Here is an 18,733-nt window from a genome sequence, read left to right on the forward strand (position 1 = left end):
TGGTCTCCTGCTTGCCTTCTGCTGTGATTTCTCTGAAGTTGCTGGGGGCAGGAGCTGGGCAGGAACTCCCCAGGGGTGCCAAGCAGAGCAGGTAGTTGGCTAAGTTTGCCTCCAGGAAAGAAGTCCCTGGAGAGCGAGCTGGTTCTAGAAAGCTCCATTATTATATTCCTATTGCTTTTGGCGAATATATGTAGAACAGAATTTTGACAATGAAATTTTCAGGTGCTCTTTTGGCCATCAAAATAACCAGCTCTTGGCTGGGCACAGTGGCTTGCCCTTGTAATTCCAGTGTTTTGGGAGGCCAAGGCAGGGGACTGCGTGAGCCCAGGAGTTTGAGACTAGCCTGGGCAACATAGTGAAACCCCATCTCTACAAAAAATACAAAGTTAGAAGAGTATGGTGGCATGCGCCTGTGGTCACAGCTACTTGGGAAGCTGTGACCCAAGTCACAGGAGGATCGCTTGAGCCCAGGAGTTCAGGGCTGTAGTGAGCTATGATTGTGCTACTGTGCTCCAGCCTGGGAGACAGAGTGACATCAGGTCTCTGAAATATTAAAATTAAAAAGCCCAAACCAACTCTGCTTTTCACTCTTTCAGTTTCATTTCTTGCTGTCCTCTCTGTCCTCTCACCCAGGGTAACATTTTTAAAGTGCCGCTATTGTGTTAAGAATTGGATTTATTCTCTGTGTTAAATTCTCTCAGCATTAACTACAGACTCTGTTATGTAAATAAGGTAAATTATCAGGATGAGAAGTGAGACTCTAATTTATGAGTTTATCATGTCTCTTTAAAAAGCTGCTAGGTGCTATCCTAACTTATTAGGCTTGAAGGATTCTGGGGGATTGGCATATTGTTACTGTTGTGGACTTTGTTTGCCTTGATCATACCCATTTTACAGATGAGAAAAGTGAGGCTGGGATTGGGGCTCAAATGCGTGCTCAGAGTCACATAAGTAGGTTGGAAGGTGACGCTACAGACACGGTAAATTGTGAAGGCCTGCTGGTAAGGCACGAGTGATTTGAATGACACTCTTTTTTTTTTTTTCCTAGTGATTCCTGTCAGAATCACCATTTTTGGTAAACAAACCAAGCCCAGAACCTGATAATTATGGAGCATTCTACACTGACAGTTCTTTGAGACAAATTTCCTCTTGGCATTTACACTGTGGCTTTAGCTTTCAAACCAGAGGTTCCTCTTACCCAGCAAAAAGTGAGTTATACGCTTTCTTAATGTTATAACGTTACCATGGATGATCCTGAACTTGCCGAGGATAGCAGAGACGGGTGGGCAGAACAGGAAAGAATCAGATCAGAGACTGTAAAAAGTAACTTAAAAAAAAATAATTCTGGCAGAGACAGAATTTGAAGGTACTTGTGCACATCAGAACACTGGACTTGCTTTTTTCTGGGAGCAGGAATGCTGCTTAATTAGATCAGAGAAGAATGCAAGTGGTCCATACATTTAGATCTACAATGCGTGGTTTCCAGACCTGCAGCTTGTTTTGCTGCGCTTCATCATGGAGTCATAGAAGGGCAGAGCTGGAGGACCGAGTGAGGGACCTGGTGCCATATCCCTACAGACAGGCAATTGGAGACTCCCGTAGGTTAAGGGCTGCAGAGCCTGGACCAATGCCCAGAATCTCTGAGCTTTTTATCTTACACCATGAAGTGACAGATGCTGGCAGATGTTAGACCTTTGTGCTTAACTGTTTAACCACACAGCACCCGACTTCTGTATGCAGCGAGGTTCTAGAGTTTCCAAAACACGGGTCTCCTCTCCCACCTCAGCCTCCTAGCATAAAACTAGACACATCCTCATGCTTTTGAGGTCTAATCATTGGATTTTGTTCCTTTCAGATGGCTTTCCCGAAGATGAGATTGATGTATATTTGCCTTCTGGTTCTGGGGGCTCTTTGTTTGTATTTTAGCATGTACAGTCTAAATCCTTTCAAAGAACAGTCCTTTGTTTACAAGAAAGACGGGAACTTCCTTAAGCTCCCAGATACAGACTGCAGGCAGACACCTCCCTTCCTCGTCCTGCTGGTGACCTCATCCCACAAACAGTTGGCTGAGCGCATGGCCATCCGGCAGACGTGGGGGAAAGAGAGGATGGTGAAGGGAAAGCAGCTGAAGACATTCTTCCTCCTGGGGACCACCAGCAGTGCAGCGGAAACGAAAGAGGTGGACCAGGAGAGCCAGCGACACGGGGACATTATCCAGAAGGATTTCCTAGACGTCTATTACAATCTGACCCTGAAGACCATGATGGGCATAGAATGGGTCCATCGCTTTTGTCCTCAGGCGGCGTTTGTGATGAAAACAGACTCAGACATGTTCATCAATGTTGACTATCTGACTGAACTGCTTCTGAAGAAAAACAGAACAACCAGGTTTTTCACTGGCTTCTTGAAACTCAATGAGTTTCCCATCAGGCAGCCATTCAGCAAGTGGTTTGTCAGTAAATCTGAATATCCGTGGGACAGGTACCCACCATTCTGCTCCGGCACCGGCTACGTGTTTTCTGGCGACGTGGCGAGTCAGGTGTACAATGTCTCCAAGAGCGTCCCATACATTAAACTGGAAGACGTGTTTGTGGGGCTCTGCCTCGAAAGGCTGAACATCAGATTGGAGGAGCTCCACTCCCAGCCGACCTTTTTTCCAGGGGGCTTACGCTTCTCCGTATGCCTCTTCAGGAGGATCGTGGCCTGCCACTTCATCAAGCCTCGGACTCTCTTGGACTACTGGCAGGCTCTAGAGAATTCCCGGGGGGAAGATTGTCCGCCTGTCTGAGGGGAGCCCAGAGGCACATCCGGACAAGTTTCAGATAACCCGTGGGGATAGTTTTTGCTAGATTTTGGAAGAGGGGGCGGGACAGAGGATGCTGTTCTTCAGTGCTGAAATCCACGCCAGAATGTCGGTGTTCATGAAGTCACTGATTAGTTCCCACTTGGTGCCCCAGGCAATAATAGGCCCGTCTCTTGGGCACGCACACTCTTCATACTAAGTGTTTGACATACACCTGGATTTTTGCATTTCAGGGGTCAGTATCCTATGACATGATGGGTGTTACCATCCTAATTTTACAGGCAAGGACACAGCAGCTGCGAGAGGTACAGAAACTTGTCCCAAGGCTCACAGCCAGTAGGCATAGGAGCGGGAATGAAAATCGAGCACTGTCAGAATCTGGTGGGCAGCCCCTGACTTGAACCACTCCCACGTGCTGCCTCCCTTAGGAGGGGACACTGATGATGAGGTCTCGGAGCCGGCATCCTTCCATCCCTGTCGAGTCCCCTCCACCTCAGCTCCCAGTCCTTGTGCTTTTTGGAGCTAAGCCTGGGATGACCAAATTCACCCCAGCTCCTTCATTCACAGGGCTGGATGTAGCTGGGATTGAGTCCATGTTATCGGCTCGGTACTCAACACAACCCAAGTTTCATCCGAGGAAATGTCCCCGCAGTGGATGCAGCTCACATGCTGAGGAACACCCAGCTCTGGACAGAGTTCTTATAAATGTATAAATTAGGCTCAGAAACCACTGCATTCTGACCTGCTGTACAGACTGCCCACACTGCTGACCTGCCTAGCGAGCAGGACATCCCTTCTGAGCCATCTGCTGCTCTCTCATTTCATCACCCCAACTGTCCCTTGTTTTTGATCAATGGGGACCAGCCACTGCCCCAGGAGCACTTTAGGGCTCTCAGTTCAAACTGAAGGACAGTTGAACTCAGATGGGGTTCATGTGGGATTCTGGGAGCTTTCTGGGAATTCAGTTGGAGTCAAGTCAGGATGCTCTCAAGGACCCCTCGGGCTCAGAGCCCTAAAGTGGGCCCTGGTGAAGCAGGGTGGTCCTGCGTCCACTTCCCAAGCCTGAGCCAAGCTCATCTTCATTGAATGTCTCATTTGGCCGAGGAACAACTGAACTTTGTGGTTTGCTGTTTAGCCTTCAGTTTGCTCCGCTGCCTCCTACCCAGAGGTTTGTGCGAGCCTGTGTTGCAGGGTTGTATAAAACCAAGGTACTTCGTTAGTTTTGCCCATTCAGCCATGGTCACGTGACATGCAAAGTAATCTTGCTCCTAATTATAGAAATGATTTTTCTTTTAATTTTTTACTTTACCAGACTTTACTTTGTACTCAGAGAAGAGGCCTCACATGGCTGTGTCACATATAAATGTTGGACTAAACTCTTACTTGAACTCAGGAAAAGTTACTTGCTGCAAAATGGTTTTGACCATGTTCAATTGCAAAAGTACGTCTGATATCCTATTTTGCATACCATTTCTTGTGTTTGGATTAAGCTGCTTCTTTGTAGATGTGTTTCCTCATCCTGGCTGCTCTGAACGCACTGGGTCATGTTCAGAAAAGCCTCCTTCTCAGGTGGAAAAAATCAGGGACTGAGCTTGTCTTTTGAAGCCCAAATTTAAGAGCCACGCCTCTCGGTTCCATAGGATGGGCCGCCTCTCATTCTGAAGATGACTGTGCTTTGAGGGAGAAGTCGTCTGTTTGGCAGTAGGCCTGCGTCTGTGTTTCGTGGTCTACCTTGTCAGGTGTGTGTCTGTGTGGCCACTGGTCTCAGTCGGCGAGGCCGGTCCAGCTGCTGCCTCTGTGTGACTGGCTTTGGGTCTGGCCTTCACAGCATCAGCTCACAGCCCACAGCTCCAGGGACAAATGAGGACAGGCGTGGGCTCTCCCTACTGCTTCTGTGTGTTCTTAAAGGATTTTCTTTGAGACCCATTGTTTCCCCTCCCCTCCCCTCCCCTCCCATCCCCTTCCCTCTTCTTTTCTTTTCTTTTTTTCTGACAGGGTCTCACCCTGTCACCCAAGCTGGAGCGTAGTGGCCTGATCTCGCTGCAGCCTTGAACTCAACGAGCCTCAAACGAGCCTCCTGCCTCAGCCAGTGGGTAGTTGGGATTACAGGTGTGTATTTCTTTATACAATGAATAATTCTTTTTCTTGAGGAAAAAACATTATTTCATGAATCTAGAACTTGAAGGAACCTTAGAGCTCATTCAATCCTGCCTCCTCTTTTATGTGGGATGCAAACGAGGCTCAGAGAGACGTAACAACTTGCCCAGGACCTTCCCAGCTTGTTTGTTGCAGAAGGAGGGTTCCAGCTCAGCGTGGGTTTCCTGGTGCTGTCTTGTCTGGATGTGAGAGTGAGAAACAATGTGAAAGCATGAGTGAGGAGGCCAAGCAGTGCTTCCCCAGGAACACCCAGCGCTAGCTCCAGAGTGGGAATGGAGAGGTCCAGGTTGGCCGGGCCGGGGCTTCACCGCAGGCACCCAGAGAGGAAGGATTCCGATGGGCAGGTGCTGAGCTAGGGGCTGTGTAGGTATTGCCTCATCTACATGCTCTCAATGAGTTTTCCGGGGGCAGAGACCTGCAGTTGCTCAGGTTTACAGATTAGGAAACTGAGGCAGAGAGAGAGAGGGTGAACAACTCATTCAAGGTTACATAGGTGAAAAGTGGTGGAAACGGGGTGACCCTAAGCTGCCCTGTGGCCTCCCCAGCCACCTGCTGACGGAGCTGTGGGAGCACATTGCATTGGCTGCTCCCACTGCCTCTCTGGGGTGCCTCCTCAGACTCCCCCAACCATACACGCCTACACCCAGCCCCCAAACCTCCGTACTCTGCCTTCTACTGTGACTGTGGCAGAAGCCACTTGGCCCCCGTGGTGCCAGAACCCCTGGTATTGGACTGACTCCAGCTCTTCTTCCACAGCTCCTGATGTGGCCTCACTCTCGTCCTACCACCTGCTGTCCCCTCTGCTGGATCACCCCATTAGCACACAGACACGCTGCCATTTTCCACCTGACCAGAAATGGCCACCACCTTCCCCGACCCCTTCCCTGACCCCCTTCCCCGTCCCGCTGCCCCATCCTGTTGCGTTTCTGGTGGAACCCCGCACGAGAGTTTTACTTGTCTGTTGCCTCGTCCTAATCCTTCCCTTCTTTCCCAAATGCCGTCTCATCAGACTTCTGCACCCCCACTCCACCCACATGGCCCTTCTCAGGGCACCCACCACCCCCTGTGGCTGGGTCCTGTGGGCAGTTCTTGTTCTCCTCCTGCTTGACGTGGCGAGTCCTCATCACCAGCTTCCAGGACACCGGGTGCTCTTGGTCTCCCTCCTCCTTGCTGCTCGCCTTTTCCATCTCCCCTGCTTGCTCCTTCTCTTTGCTCTGACAGTGTCGTGCTGGAGGATCCTGGGCTCTGCGTGGGGCCCCCTTTCTTCCCTGGTTATACCCAGTCCTCCGAGGGGCCCACCTTGTCTCATGGCTTTAAATATGTTGATGATGTTTCCATTTATCTCCAGCCTAGAACTCTTTCTTGCTCTTCAATCCACTGCCTACCTGATTTCCCATAGTGAACAATCCAACACTGACCTTCTGGTTAACTGCCCCACATCCAGCCCATCTGCAGCCATTCCCGTCTCAGGTAATGGCCACTCCATCTTCCTGCAGCTCAAGTGGGAAGCCCTGGAGCCATTCCGACTCCTCTCCCATCTGGTGCATCAGGAAAGACTGTGGGAACTACCTTCAAATTCTCTCCAGGAGCCAACCACCTCCTGCCCCTCCACTGCGACCACCCTTGTTCAAGCCTGCATTGCCTCTCACCTGCATTCGTGCAGCTACCTCCAGACCCTCCCTCAGCTTCCATTATTGCATCCTTTGGTCTCTTCCCAGCAGCATCCAGAGTGATCCTTTGAAAATCTCATTTCTCTGCTCAAAACCCTCCTGAGGTTTCCCATCACCAAGGATATTAAGGATAAAAACCACATCCTTCATACCATTGTCTACCTGTGATTCCCTAATCGTGTCCCTTTGCTCACTCCCTCTGGCCTCTTGCTGTTCCCTGAACAGCAGTCTGTTCCAGCCACAGCAGCCCCTTTGCCCTATGTGCCCATCCCCGTCAGCCTTGGCACTGGCTGTCCTCTCTGCTGGGAGTGCCCTTTCTTCAGATGCTCTCATGCTTCGCTTCTTTGCCTTGTTGACATTTGGTCAATGTCACCTTCTCAGTGAGGCCTACCCTGACCTCCCTGTAGGAAAATGCAACTCACCTCACTCCCATGCCCCGTACCTTATATTGTTTTCCTTGCACTTACCAATTTCTAACAAAGCATGTAATATCTGTTTATTATAACATATCTATATTTTATGGTTTATGTTTCACGCAACTTGAATGTAACCTTTGTGTGGGCCGTGGGTCTTTCTCTGTTTCCTTCACTGACGCACCTTGGATTCTTAGCATGGTCCCAGCACATAGTAGATGCTCAATAAACATTTGTTGAGTGGAACTGAATGTATTGGTATGGTAGGTGGGTTTTAGAAGGGAATGGGTGAACCAGGACTGAAAAAAAAGAAATATTTTTCAAAGTAAGCCAACACTGTGGTTTCACTTGAGTCAGTAAGTAGGAAATGGGTGCGACTCTGTGACCTGAAAACCTAGAAATGCTCCACAGCCATGCTCTTCACCCCTTTTCTTCCAAAACGGAAAACCTCACACAATGCAGGGTGGACAGAATCACACGGTGCAGTCTGTGCGCCTGTCCTCCAGCCCGACACCTGGCCAGTCCTGTCTCATCTACACTGTCATGCAAACTCTTGTTTTTGTTTGTTTGTTTTTGAGACAGAGTCTCACTCTGTCACCTAGGCTGAAGTGCAGTGGTGCAGTCTTGGATCACTGCAACCTCCACCTCCTGGGTTCTTGTGCCTCAGCCTCCCGAGTAGCTAGGATTATAGGCATGCACCACCAACCAGCTAATTTTTGTATTGTTAGTAGAGACGGGGTTTCACCATGTTGGCCAGGCTGGTCTTGAGCTCCTGACCTCAGGTAATCTACGTGCCTCAGCCTCCCAGAGTGCTGGGATTATAGGTGTGAGCCACCACACCCAGCCATGTTTCAAGAATTTGTGCTTCAGCTCAGCACTTAGTGGCAGTGGGAAGACCAGACCTCCTGACCCTTCAGCCTGCTGGCATCCACCATGCCTTAAAAAACAAAACAAAACCCTAAATGTATTTAATTCCTGCTCCTCTTCAAACACACCATTGTAACCACATAATACACTGTGTGAAAAGAGAGGAAAGAAAAATCCAAGTCAACAATAACTTGCCAGGCCTTCTTTCCTTGAGCCCCATATCCCACGCCCGCTGTGCTAACCTCTGGCTTGCCGCCCACACCTGTCTGGATTCATCCCGACTCGAGCCACCTCCTCCTAACTGGTCCCACGGGCCTGTCCCTGCCACTTTCCAATCTGTCCTCCACTTGACATTTGGAGTAATTTTTTAAAACAGCAAATCTGATTAGGAAACTCAGAGGCCCAGGGAAGCCAGTGACTTGCCCTCTGGCACCCTGTCCTGAGGGTAGAGCTTCCTGGCACAGGGTCAGTGAGCCCCGAGGCCACCTCCCTGGAGGCTGCAGGAGGGTGAGCGTGGTCAAGAGCAGCAATTTTCATTGTTTCATGTGTCATTGCCTATTTAACGAGCTTCGCAGTGCCCTCAATTTGCTAAGTTAACTTTGGCCACGCCGTCCGTGAGAGGTCAGACTGGTGATTTCCAACTCCCGCCGGGCACCGGGTGCTGCACCGGTTATCCCAACAGGCTGGCACAGAGGGCTGAAATGGACTTGGAAAGCCAAATAATTAATTTTCATGCGAGTTTTTGATCCCCTTGAGTGTGGTTATTTTTGTGCAAAAAATTATCCCGATGTTTACTTTGGTTTCATAAGTAATTTATTAAAATTCCTTCCTAAGCTTTAAATTTCAGCTAACAAATATGAGCATGGCCTCTGGGAATGGTAAGAACAAGGAAGCATTGTGTGTGTGTGTGCACACCCCAAGGTTGTGCAGCTAGAAGTGCAGAATGTGGATTCCGTCCGCTCTTTAGGGCACAGCTAGCCCTGTGCACCTGTAGAAACTGTACTGACGTACAGCCTTGCAGAGCCTCCAGCTTCCATGGTGGCAGGAGCCATGGAAAATAGAGACCCACCCGGTAAGGAGGTAACTGGGACACCAGGTTACTGTCTACCTGGTGGGGAAGCTGGGGAAAAGGGCCCATGGGAGGATACTAACTGGGGAAGAGGAGACCTTGCTTCCAGGGCTGGGCGACCCACTTACGGAGGCCCCATTCCATTTACATCTCCGCTCAAGCCTCCGCCTCCGGGTTCCAGCCCTGGCTCTGCAATTTGCTAGCTGTGGCCCCAGGTGGTCATTCTCTCTGCACCTCAGTCTCTGCATCTCTATAAAATGGGATGATAATAGTGTTCACCTCAGAAGGTTGTCAGAGGTGTGGAAATTAAGATAATTCACATTGAGTTCTTGGCACGGCTGTGCCTAGCACTGGGTGCAGGCTGAATGCATGGGCTGCTATCGCGATGTTGTATCTAATGGCCTGCAGTGGTTGCTTAGCAGCAATGGGTTTGCTTGGTTATTTCCTGATTTGGGGTAAATAGATCCAGAGACCAAGGCTCCATGTTATCCCCAGCACCGGGCTGACCCCAAGTACCAGAGAGGTCTCCATGGCCCCAGGCTGCAGAGGACCCAGGTTACAACTTGCTCAAGTAGACCCAGGATCTAGGCTTATCCTAGTAGATCTTGGTACCAGGCCAGCCTCTGTGACCTGAGACTCCAAGACCACCATTGCAGACCCAGGCTCTAAGCTAGCCTCTGCAAACTCAGGATATATATTCCAAATATCCCTGATTTGGGGGGCAAGGTCTGTGTGTGATTTGCAGAGTAACGATATGAAGAAGGAGGTCTTGTTAAGATGGCGTGGTGTGGAGTGCCCAGGTGTGAAATGGTTGTCTCAATGGAAGTTGTAGCCTCCTCCTCCCATGACATCATCCTCACACGTGCTCAGTGTTAGGCATTTTTTCCCCCTCCTGCTCTGAATCAATGCGAGTGAGATATGCATGCGGGAGGGACAAGCTTGCATGGCACCCAGCTGTGGTACATTTAGAACTCGGCCTCAGCCCTCCAGTGTGACCTTGGGCATACCCTTCACCCCCGGGCTCTGTTCGCTGGGGCAGGGTCTGCGCTCTGGAGTCAGGCTGCCTGGGTTTGAATTTTACCTTCCTCGCCAAGTCCCTTGAGTGGCAAGTTACTTATCTTCTCATTGTCTCCGTTTTGTTATCTGAAGAATGGGACCATAGTAGTTCCCGCCTCATGGGATGATCATGTGGGTTAAATGAGAGGATGAGTATAAACTGCTCAACATCCCATGGTAGGTGCTCAGTAAATGCAGGTGCTTATGATTATAGTCAGTGTTTGGGCTGTGAATTTTGGTGGATTCTATGGTGGTGTATACAGCACTATCTATCAGTGTACCTGTCAGTGTCTGGTGATCTCTGTGCAAATCAAAAACTCTTCAGATTGAGTCTGTAGGGCTTTGTTTCAGCTCTTGTTCTTTTTCTTCATTTGAATCTTTCCTGGAACTCTTGGAGAAGTTCTTCTGTTCGTGACATTCTTCACAATCAGAGCACTGTGTTCTTGACCCTCTTAATTCAGAATATGTGAAAATCTGAATGAGGTAAAAGAAGTTGGAGCTGGAAGATGCCTTAGAAATTATCTACAGTATTTTTTTTTTTAAGATAAAACCTTTTACAGTTAGGAAAGCCAAAGCTCAGAAAAATGGAGTGACTTTGCCAGGTCCTTCAGCGAGTGGCACATCCAGGATTAAAAGCTGGCATCAGAAATCCCATGTCAGACATTCATTCGTTTATTTATTCATCTGTTGAGTGCTCAGTGCTTTGACCGGGCATCCTGAATGAGGGTCAAGCTGAGGTTCGAGGCCGTGGGTTTTGCATACAGAGCTTTCACTGGGTAAATACACAATGCTGAGAAGATTATCAGGGGCACCTGATCCCTTGACAGCTGAATAAAGAAGCGTTCCAGTGCCTTCTCTGTGGGCATCGTAAGCCATGTCCATCCATACCTGCTGTTTCACTGAAACCCCACAGCAGCCTCTGGAGGGCACCATTCTTATAATTATGCCCCTGGATTTAAGAGGAGGAAACTGAGGGGCAGGTGACTCAGTGACTTCCCCGGGGGCTCAGACGTGGTGGAGACACAGGCCCTCGGCCTCCAAATGCTGCCTCCCGCGAGCAGCCTTGCTTTTCTCCACTTGGCACAGTGGTGAGTCCTCCGATGTATCTGCTTTCATAGGAAGCTTGGGACCAGCCCTGCCCAAGGAGTGTGCCACCTGACCCCTTTTCCTGTCTTCTGTCACTTTTTTTTTTCCAAGTGTTGATATGAGTTTCAGTCTGCCCCTTCCTGGGCCTGTTTGACCTCCTGGGATTCGGCACTTAGTTATCTGTGTCATTCCCAAGGACCTCCCGTTTAGCTGGATCCCCTGACCTGTCCTGCCCTGGCCAGCCCTCTCTTGAGGTTACTCAAGTGTCCAATGGCAGCCCAAACAAATGTCTGGCTTCAGAAAATAAACTCTTCAGTCCAGCCCACTTTCCCTGTCTCCCTATCTAATGCCCTTGCAAAACAAGCCCGGGGGCGCCACACTCAGACTGTGTGTGTGTGTGTGTGTGTGTGTATCTATGAGAGAGAGAGAGACAGACAGACAGATCTGAGGCTCTAATTAGAGATACCATGCTCAGTGGAAGCTGGTTCTGAACAATGTTAACTGCCCCACCCGTGTCCATGAAGGGCAGTGGAAGAGCAAGGGGCGGTTTAATTACCTGGGATGTAAAACAGCAGGCACCCCCACTGCCCTCCTCAGCTGTTGGGGTGGCAGGGTGGAGTTGAGGGCCTCACTCGTTTTCACCTTTGCACAATCAGTCACACATTTGTTATATGACAGCTATGTGCCACACACCCATGTTCAGTAAGGTGGAAGCCAGCTGCAGGCGTGGTCCACAGTTCCAGACATCTCTGAAGGATGTGACACCAACTTTCAGGCAGAACATTTAGAAAGAGTGAAATAAAGTGAAACAGATCAACCAGCCTATTGAGTATCTACGTGTTTTTTTTACAGGCAAGAACTGAGGAGGCAATACTATTTAGAATCCTTGATAAACAGTTCCAAAAGAAAAAAAAAAACAGGCTTTGGTGACTCTCATGGGCCCTCCGTGCCAAGAGTCTATGGCTCTGTGATATATTAAATCAGGCTTGTTAATTATTTAATCTAACAGCTGCCATGCACCCTCATTTTAAAAACAGATGAGGCAATGTTTACATTTTCTCCATGTCCTCCATTTGGAAGTGTCTTAGTTTGTTTTGTGTTGCTGTAACAGAATACCACAGACTGGGCGATTTATAGACAATAGAAATTAATCTGGCTCATGGTTCTAGAGGCTAGGAAGTCCAAGAGCTTGGCACTGGCCTCTGGTGAGGGCCTTCATGCTGTGTCATTGTGGGCAAAAGAGCAAAACTTGCTTTGATAAAATCACTCTTGGCAATAACTGACCCTCCTCTTATAATAACATTAATTCATTCATGACAGCAGAACCCTCCTGACCCAGTCACCTCTTAAAAGGTCCCACCTCTCAACGCTGTTGCACTGGGGATTAAGTTTCCTTACACATGCACTTTGGGGGACACATTCAAACTGTAGCAGGAATTATTTGCTTTCTCATAACATTTTTTTAATTAATTAATTTTCAGCGTTTGTTATATCAGAATGGACATTATAGCAATTTCCATGGCTGTGTCGCTCCTGGCAGATTTTAAAGTTCTTCCAGCCTGATTCCTCTCTCTGTTTGGGTCTCTGGCATGGTGCCTGCTGGAGAGTAGATACTTGATAATTATCTATTGGGTTCTCAGGGGATCTCTCAAAGGTGGTATTCAGGCACCCACAAGGCAACTCCCATCACAAGAAAGAATGGTGGCCTGGGAGTGAGCTGTAAGGTTCCTTCAAACATCAGTTCCTGAAGCCTCTTTTATTCATTATTGTTGGGACTTGTTTTTATTTCTGTTTCGTTCTACGTGACCCCAAAATCTGTATGTGAACACTAGGAACTTTATCATGGGCTGAGGTGTATTTGAAGTAAACTCTTAACTATGTCTCTGGGATATGAAAGGTGCTTACATTCTCTGTTGGGAATGTAGAGAGAAGGATTTGCAGTGTGTGGCCCCTGGGAATGTAGAGGCATGAATTTCTGTCTGTTTTCCTGCTGTTGAAATCTGAGTGCTAGGAACGGACCTCTTGCTCTCAGATTGGCCTTGAAGCTGAAGGGAACCTGTCCACCCTCTGCACAGGGCAAGAGCCACGCCAACAGGAGGAAGTTGGAGTGCATCCTGGCACCTGCCAATCGGAAGACTGACAAACAAAAAATTAGTTTTTAATTAATTTAAAAAATGATCTTCCTACTTATCAGACACAATCACTTTTAAATATGAGCAGAAAAACGAACTCCATAGCCAAATGCAACATTTTGTGTCATACTGCTTTACATCATCTATTCTACCTCCATTCACTGGTCAAAGAAGCGCAGAGTTAAGTTGGCCAGTGTGGCGTGGACACAGCCAGGCGCAGACCCTCCTGCCAGCGAAGCCAGCGTGAGGTCTGTTGGCTCAGGGGTCCAGTCCCTGGGTCCCCGAAGAGGTAAGCCAAAGACATAGTGATACTTGGTTCAATTCGGCTCCAGAGAGTATCAGATGGGAAATAGATGACTTGTTTTACCTGGTCAAATAAGACATCACTAAAATCTACCATGACTGGAAATTACTTAATGCAACCAGAGGAGACTTCGCAGTCAAATTTTGCTTTTCCTAAAAGACACGAAATTAAATTTACATGTCACTGAATGCTATTTGAAACTGTCATTTCCTTGTATATTAGGGGGATCTGCTAGACTCTTATGTCATTGTATTTTGGAAATGGGTATATGTCCTTATTATTGGTTAATAATCATATTTATTTTTAATGAAAATTAAATTATGAAAATAATGCACTTAACTAGGTGAGTTTTAGGTTGTCGATTGATGTGATAATTCACTCTTCCCGAAAAATTGGCAAGGTAATGGTCTGAATCGGACAATCCTTTTGTTTTTACATTGATGTTTTCTATATTTATTTTGTACCTGGAAAAATATTTTTACAATTTATTTTGATTTTATATGTGTAGAAAAATGTACTGAACAATGTTGACATGCTTATTTTTGTAAGAGATGGGTACTTCTTGTTCCCCTTGGATTTCGGAAGCAAAGCAATGGGACCCTACGCTTCAGAGTCTTAATGGGGTGGGGCAGTGTCCATTGAGGTGTCCTGTCGGGAATGACAAGTCCAGGGCAGATTATGAGGCAGGCATCCTTTGGAGTTCTTCTCTCAGGTATATTTTAACTAAAAGCTATCATTTAAGTTGAAGAAATCAAGTCTTGTGAATTGATACGATTGTACTTCTAGAGTCTTTGATGATAAGTTGTCTTTGCGGTACAGATTGGCTCCTCGATCTTTCAAAGTGTCATTTAAATGGAAATAAATGTCTGAAACAGATGTGTGTTTCTGACTTAATCATGCATGGGTCACCGTTCCTGCAGTACTGCAGGCCTGGAAATCTCTGCCCACCGATGCTCCTGGCAGGCTGCATCCAGGACCCGCTCAGAAACGAATCTGGAGTTGGAGGCGGCAGGGAGGGAGGGGTGCAGCACTGTGTGTGGGGAAGTGGTGGATCCTGAAGGTGGGCGGGGGGTGGTGCAGCTTCAGAGGATGAGGGTCCCTCCTGCTCCCTCCCCACCAGCCGGCCTTGCCATCCCCCTGTGGCAAGGTGGGGGCTGTCCCTGGACCCTGGAAGGCTGGTCCTTTCTCGCTGGCTGCTCCCTCCTCCGGGACTCCATGCCCACCATCATCTCCTCTCCCACAATGGCCACTTCTCCCTTCCAGAACCTTCCTCAGCACACAAGCCTGCTCTCACTGCCCACTCAAAGATGACTTGCTGGACTTTCCCCTTTTCTAGTAGTGCCTTTCTCTCTCTTTTTTCCCTTAAGGCTAAAGCTCCTCCCAAGAGTGGCCTTCCCCTCTGCTGCCACCTCAGCTCCCCTCTCCTTTCCCCCACCATGGCCCTGAATTAGCTGTTGCGGCCGCACCAGCACTTGGGTTGGGTCAGCACCGTGTCACTCTGGGCGCTTGCCTGGCCAGGTCTTGGCAGTGCCTGGCACTGGAGCCTGCCCTGCTCCCTCCCGCACCCTCCTGGCTCCAGGACATCTCAGCCTGTTGCCTTTCCTCCCCTCCCAGCAGCTCCCTCCACTCTTTTTGGCTCACTCCACCTCCTTGTCCCGCCCTCTCATGGTGGAGGGCCCTGGCTGAGACCCCAGGCCTCCCGCTCGCCATCAGTACTGCCTGCCAGTCAGAGCACCTGTCTCCCCATGTGTTCGTTTGTCTCAGGGCCATGGAAACAGAACACAAGCCATCCAGCTGGAAAGAAACGCAACAGGTGTTTCTCTTCCCGTCGTCTTGGAGGCCAGGTGTCCAAGATAAAGGTGTCGTCAGGGCTGGCTCCTCCTGAGGCCTCTCTCCTTGGGGTGTGGATGGCGCCTTCCTCCTGTCTCTGCACATGGCCTCTCCTTTGTGTGTGTCTGTCTCCATTTCCTTTTATATTTTATAAGGACACCAGTCACATTGGATCTGGGCCCACCCTCTTGACCTCATTTTAACTTGATTACCTCTTTAGAGACCCCGTCTCTGGCTACTGGAGGTTGGAACATCAGCAGATGAATTTTTTTGACAGGGGTCATGATTCAACCTGTAACATCATGGGTTTCAATTCCATCTCTATGTTGATGGCTCCCAAATATGGGTCATGACCTCTGACTTTTCACTGAACCCCAAACCCAGATATTCCAGTTCCTGTTCAGCAGCATCACTTTGATGTAAAATGGGCAAAGCTGAACTCTCACTTTTCCCCTTCAGACTGGCCTCTCTGCTATCTCAGTATTTCTGCTGCCAGTGCCTCACGCTCAGGAGTTTGCTTTGGCTCCTGTCTTTCCTGAACATCCTGCAGCAGCAGGTCCCGAGCCTCCTCAGGGGAGAAGAGCCTAAATCGGGCCGTTTTCACTGCCCTCAGCCCCCCACCCAGGCCGCTGTCATCCGTCACCTACACTTCTGCGGGGGTCTCCCAGTGAGCTCCCTGTGCGTTCTTTGACATGTGTGTGGCCTCATCTACACAGAGTGGTCTCTGAAATGCATGAATAAGATCGTGGACCACTGCTGCTCATTGTTCTAGAAGTTTTTATTTACCTTCAATGTGACTGTGAAGTCCTTACCATGACTCACAAGATGACCTCTGGCTCCTGAATGCCCCTGCAACTCCCCACCATGCCCTGCCTTTCACCCCTGGGCCAGCACACGGTCCTTGCACTTTCCTCCAGGCAGCCCAGCCCCTTCAGCCCCGTCAGTGTCACGTGTTTCCCCAGGACCTTCCCGTGGGTGCCTCTCATGCCATAACAGGGCACCACAGACGAGTCGGCTTCAACAACAGACCTCGGTTCTCTCACAGTCCTGGAGGCTGGCGTCCCAGATCAAGCCGTCACAGGGCTGGTTCCTCCTGAGACCCCTCTCCTGGGCTTGCAGATGACATCTTCCCCTTGTGTCCTCATGGGGCCATCCTTCTTTGTCTGTGTCCTCATCTCCTGTCCTTACAAGGACACCTGTCTGATAGGGTCAGGGCCCAACCTGACGACCTCATTTTACCTTGATTACTTCTTTAAATGCCCGATGTCCAAATACAGTCACATTCTGAGGTGCTGGGGGTCAGGACTTCAACATATGGATCTTGGGGGGATTCAAGTCCACTGCTAACACCGCCCCCCCCTCTGTGAGTACCTCTTGCACCCTCGCCTTGTTCCTTCAGTGTGCTCTATTTTCTTCATGTCACTCATCCCTGCCCACATTTTACTGGACACTTATGCATCTCTTGTCTCTCCCTATGGACTGTAAGCTCCATGAGTGCAAACACTGCCTTCCTGCCCACACTCCACGGCATTTACACGGCATTTACAGCGGCGCCTCCCACCCAGCAATCCATTTTTCTGAACAAATGGATGAGCCTGTGGTTTGAAGGACTTGAGTCTGAGAGCGTTTGACTTTAGGAGCTGGAGGGTGGGTCTGTGACTGCACTGGCGAGGACTACCTGGTGGAGGGGCTGCTGAGTGGGCCCAGCCAGGAGAGGGTGTAAGGAAAGAGGGCAGCGGTACCTGCCTCCCGTCACGCAGTGTCTTGGAAGAATGAATGTGGGGACGTATTTCATTTCATGCCATTTGAATAGCTACTAGAATTATCCCCACTTTACAACAGACACAAGTGGCCTGCATTAGATTATTAAGGACGCCAAAGGAGAAATAAACCGTGACATCAGCCATTCCCTCTACATGGCCTGATGACTTTCTCTAGCCATACAGCATAATGATCGAACAAAGAAATGCCCTCATTGTCATGAGGTCCTTATGCAATTGTGCTATCCTGTGAAGAACCACCAGGTAGGTACAGGAAGGAATCACTTTGGCAGAAAACCGCAAGACAACACACTTCTGACTGTCTTTAGGTTTCTAGGTAATTGCGGTTTGCATGTTCAGACTTACAGCGCCTCTGAACCACGACGAAACATTCTTTTCGTCAGGCATCCGTGGCCAGGAACATTGTCTCTGGCAGGCCTCTCCCAGCTCTCAGATGACAGATGCGTCTGTTTATTCTCTGGTTGTTTGAACAGTGCTGCGGCCCTGCAGGCTTTTCTGGGGCACTGTCCTTTGTCAGTGCAGATGGAGACTGGAGCTCAACAATTAGATTCCCTTCAGTGATGAGAACCTGGCTGCACTTCAGTTCAGAGAATATTTCTGATCAGTGCTTTTAGCAGCGATGCTTTGGGTAATGCTTGCTCATCTCAGGAAAGAAACAAGAGCGTCAGACAGGGGAGGAACCCTGGAGATCCCCTGGCCCAACCTCTCTATTGTACAGAGGACGAAAAGCACTCACAGCTGCCTTGTCCACAGGAAACGGTGTCAGAAACAAAGCCTTCCTACTCATGTCTCTGTAATTTTAGCTGTTTCTAGATATTGAATGCCACAATAAATAGCACGTAAGATGTTACATTGAAAAACAAAACCTTGGCCAGGCGCGGTGGCTCACGCCTGTAATCCCAGCACTTGGGAGGCCGAGGCGGGCGGATCACCTGAGGTCAGAAGTTCGAGACCAGCCTGGCCAACATGGTGAAACTCAGTCTCTACCAAAAATACAAAAATTAGCCGGGTATGATGGTGCATGCCTGTGATCCTAGCTACTCGGGAGGCTGAGGCAGAAGAATCACTTAAACCCGGGAGGCGGAGGTTACAGTGAGCTGAGATCGCACCACTGCACTCCAGCCTGGGCAACAGAGTGAGACTCTGTCTCGAAAAAAGAAACAACAACAAAATCCTTTCTGTGTTATTTGCTGATCCTGCCATATGTCAGAGAAGACCGTAGTTAAGACTGTATATAAGAGCAGAGAAAACCATTCTATCCAGAGGCTCAGAAAGTTTACTTTTTTGCCCAAGTCATACAGCTAGAAATTGACCCTGGAGTTTTAACTTCAACTTTACTGCATTACAGCCTAGAATTCAAAAATAGACCCAAAGGTGTACATCTTAAAGGAGGCACGCTGTAATTCTATGCTCAGACTTCCAGTCGCGTACTGACTTGCACTTGCTAAGCATTCATCAACGCATTTTAGTTGGATGCCTATCATGCATCACAGCTCCTGGTGTCATGAACTTCTTTTCTGTTTAAGAAAGTGGTTTGTAAACAGGCCTTTACAATGCCACGTGAT

General features: G+C 48.9%; 1 protein-coding gene across 8 annotated transcripts in view, besides 1 other annotated feature; it reads left to right on the forward strand.

The window, feature by feature from the left end:
• The window catches only part of B3GALT5 (beta-1,3-galactosyltransferase 5), a 60,198-nt gene extending 45,765 nt beyond the window's left edge, over positions 1–14,433 (forward strand). For 7 of the 8 annotated variants that reach the window (NM_001356336.2, NM_001278650.2, NM_001356338.2 and 4 more), the window contains 2 exons: positions 1,049–1,208; positions 1,856–14,433. In NM_001356336.2, coding sequence (NP_001343265.1) covers positions 1,856–2,788 — 933 coding nt within the window. In that variant the 5' untranslated portion in view covers positions 1,049–1,208 and the 3' untranslated portion in view covers positions 2,789–14,433. The remainder of the gene's footprint in view (positions 1–1,048; positions 1,209–1,855) is intronic. The other variant, NM_033172.3, reaches the window with a different exon arrangement.
• Positions 14,366–15,001: an enhancer, noted in NCBI's record as "H3K27ac-H3K4me1 hESC enhancer chr21:41044997-41045632 (GRCh37/hg19 assembly coordinates)". NCBI's record gives its function as "activates a minimal SCP1, AML or CMV promoter by ChIP-STARR-seq in naive H9 embryonic stem cells {active_cell/tissue: H9 hESC(naive)}" and the evidence as "EXISTENCE:reporter gene assay evidence [ECO:0000049][PMID:30033119]".

This window comes from Homo sapiens, chromosome 21 (genome assembly GCF_000001405.40).
Source record: "Homo sapiens chromosome 21, GRCh38.p14 Primary Assembly".
Classification (NCBI taxonomy): Eukaryota; Metazoa; Chordata; class Mammalia; order Primates; family Hominidae; genus Homo; species Homo sapiens.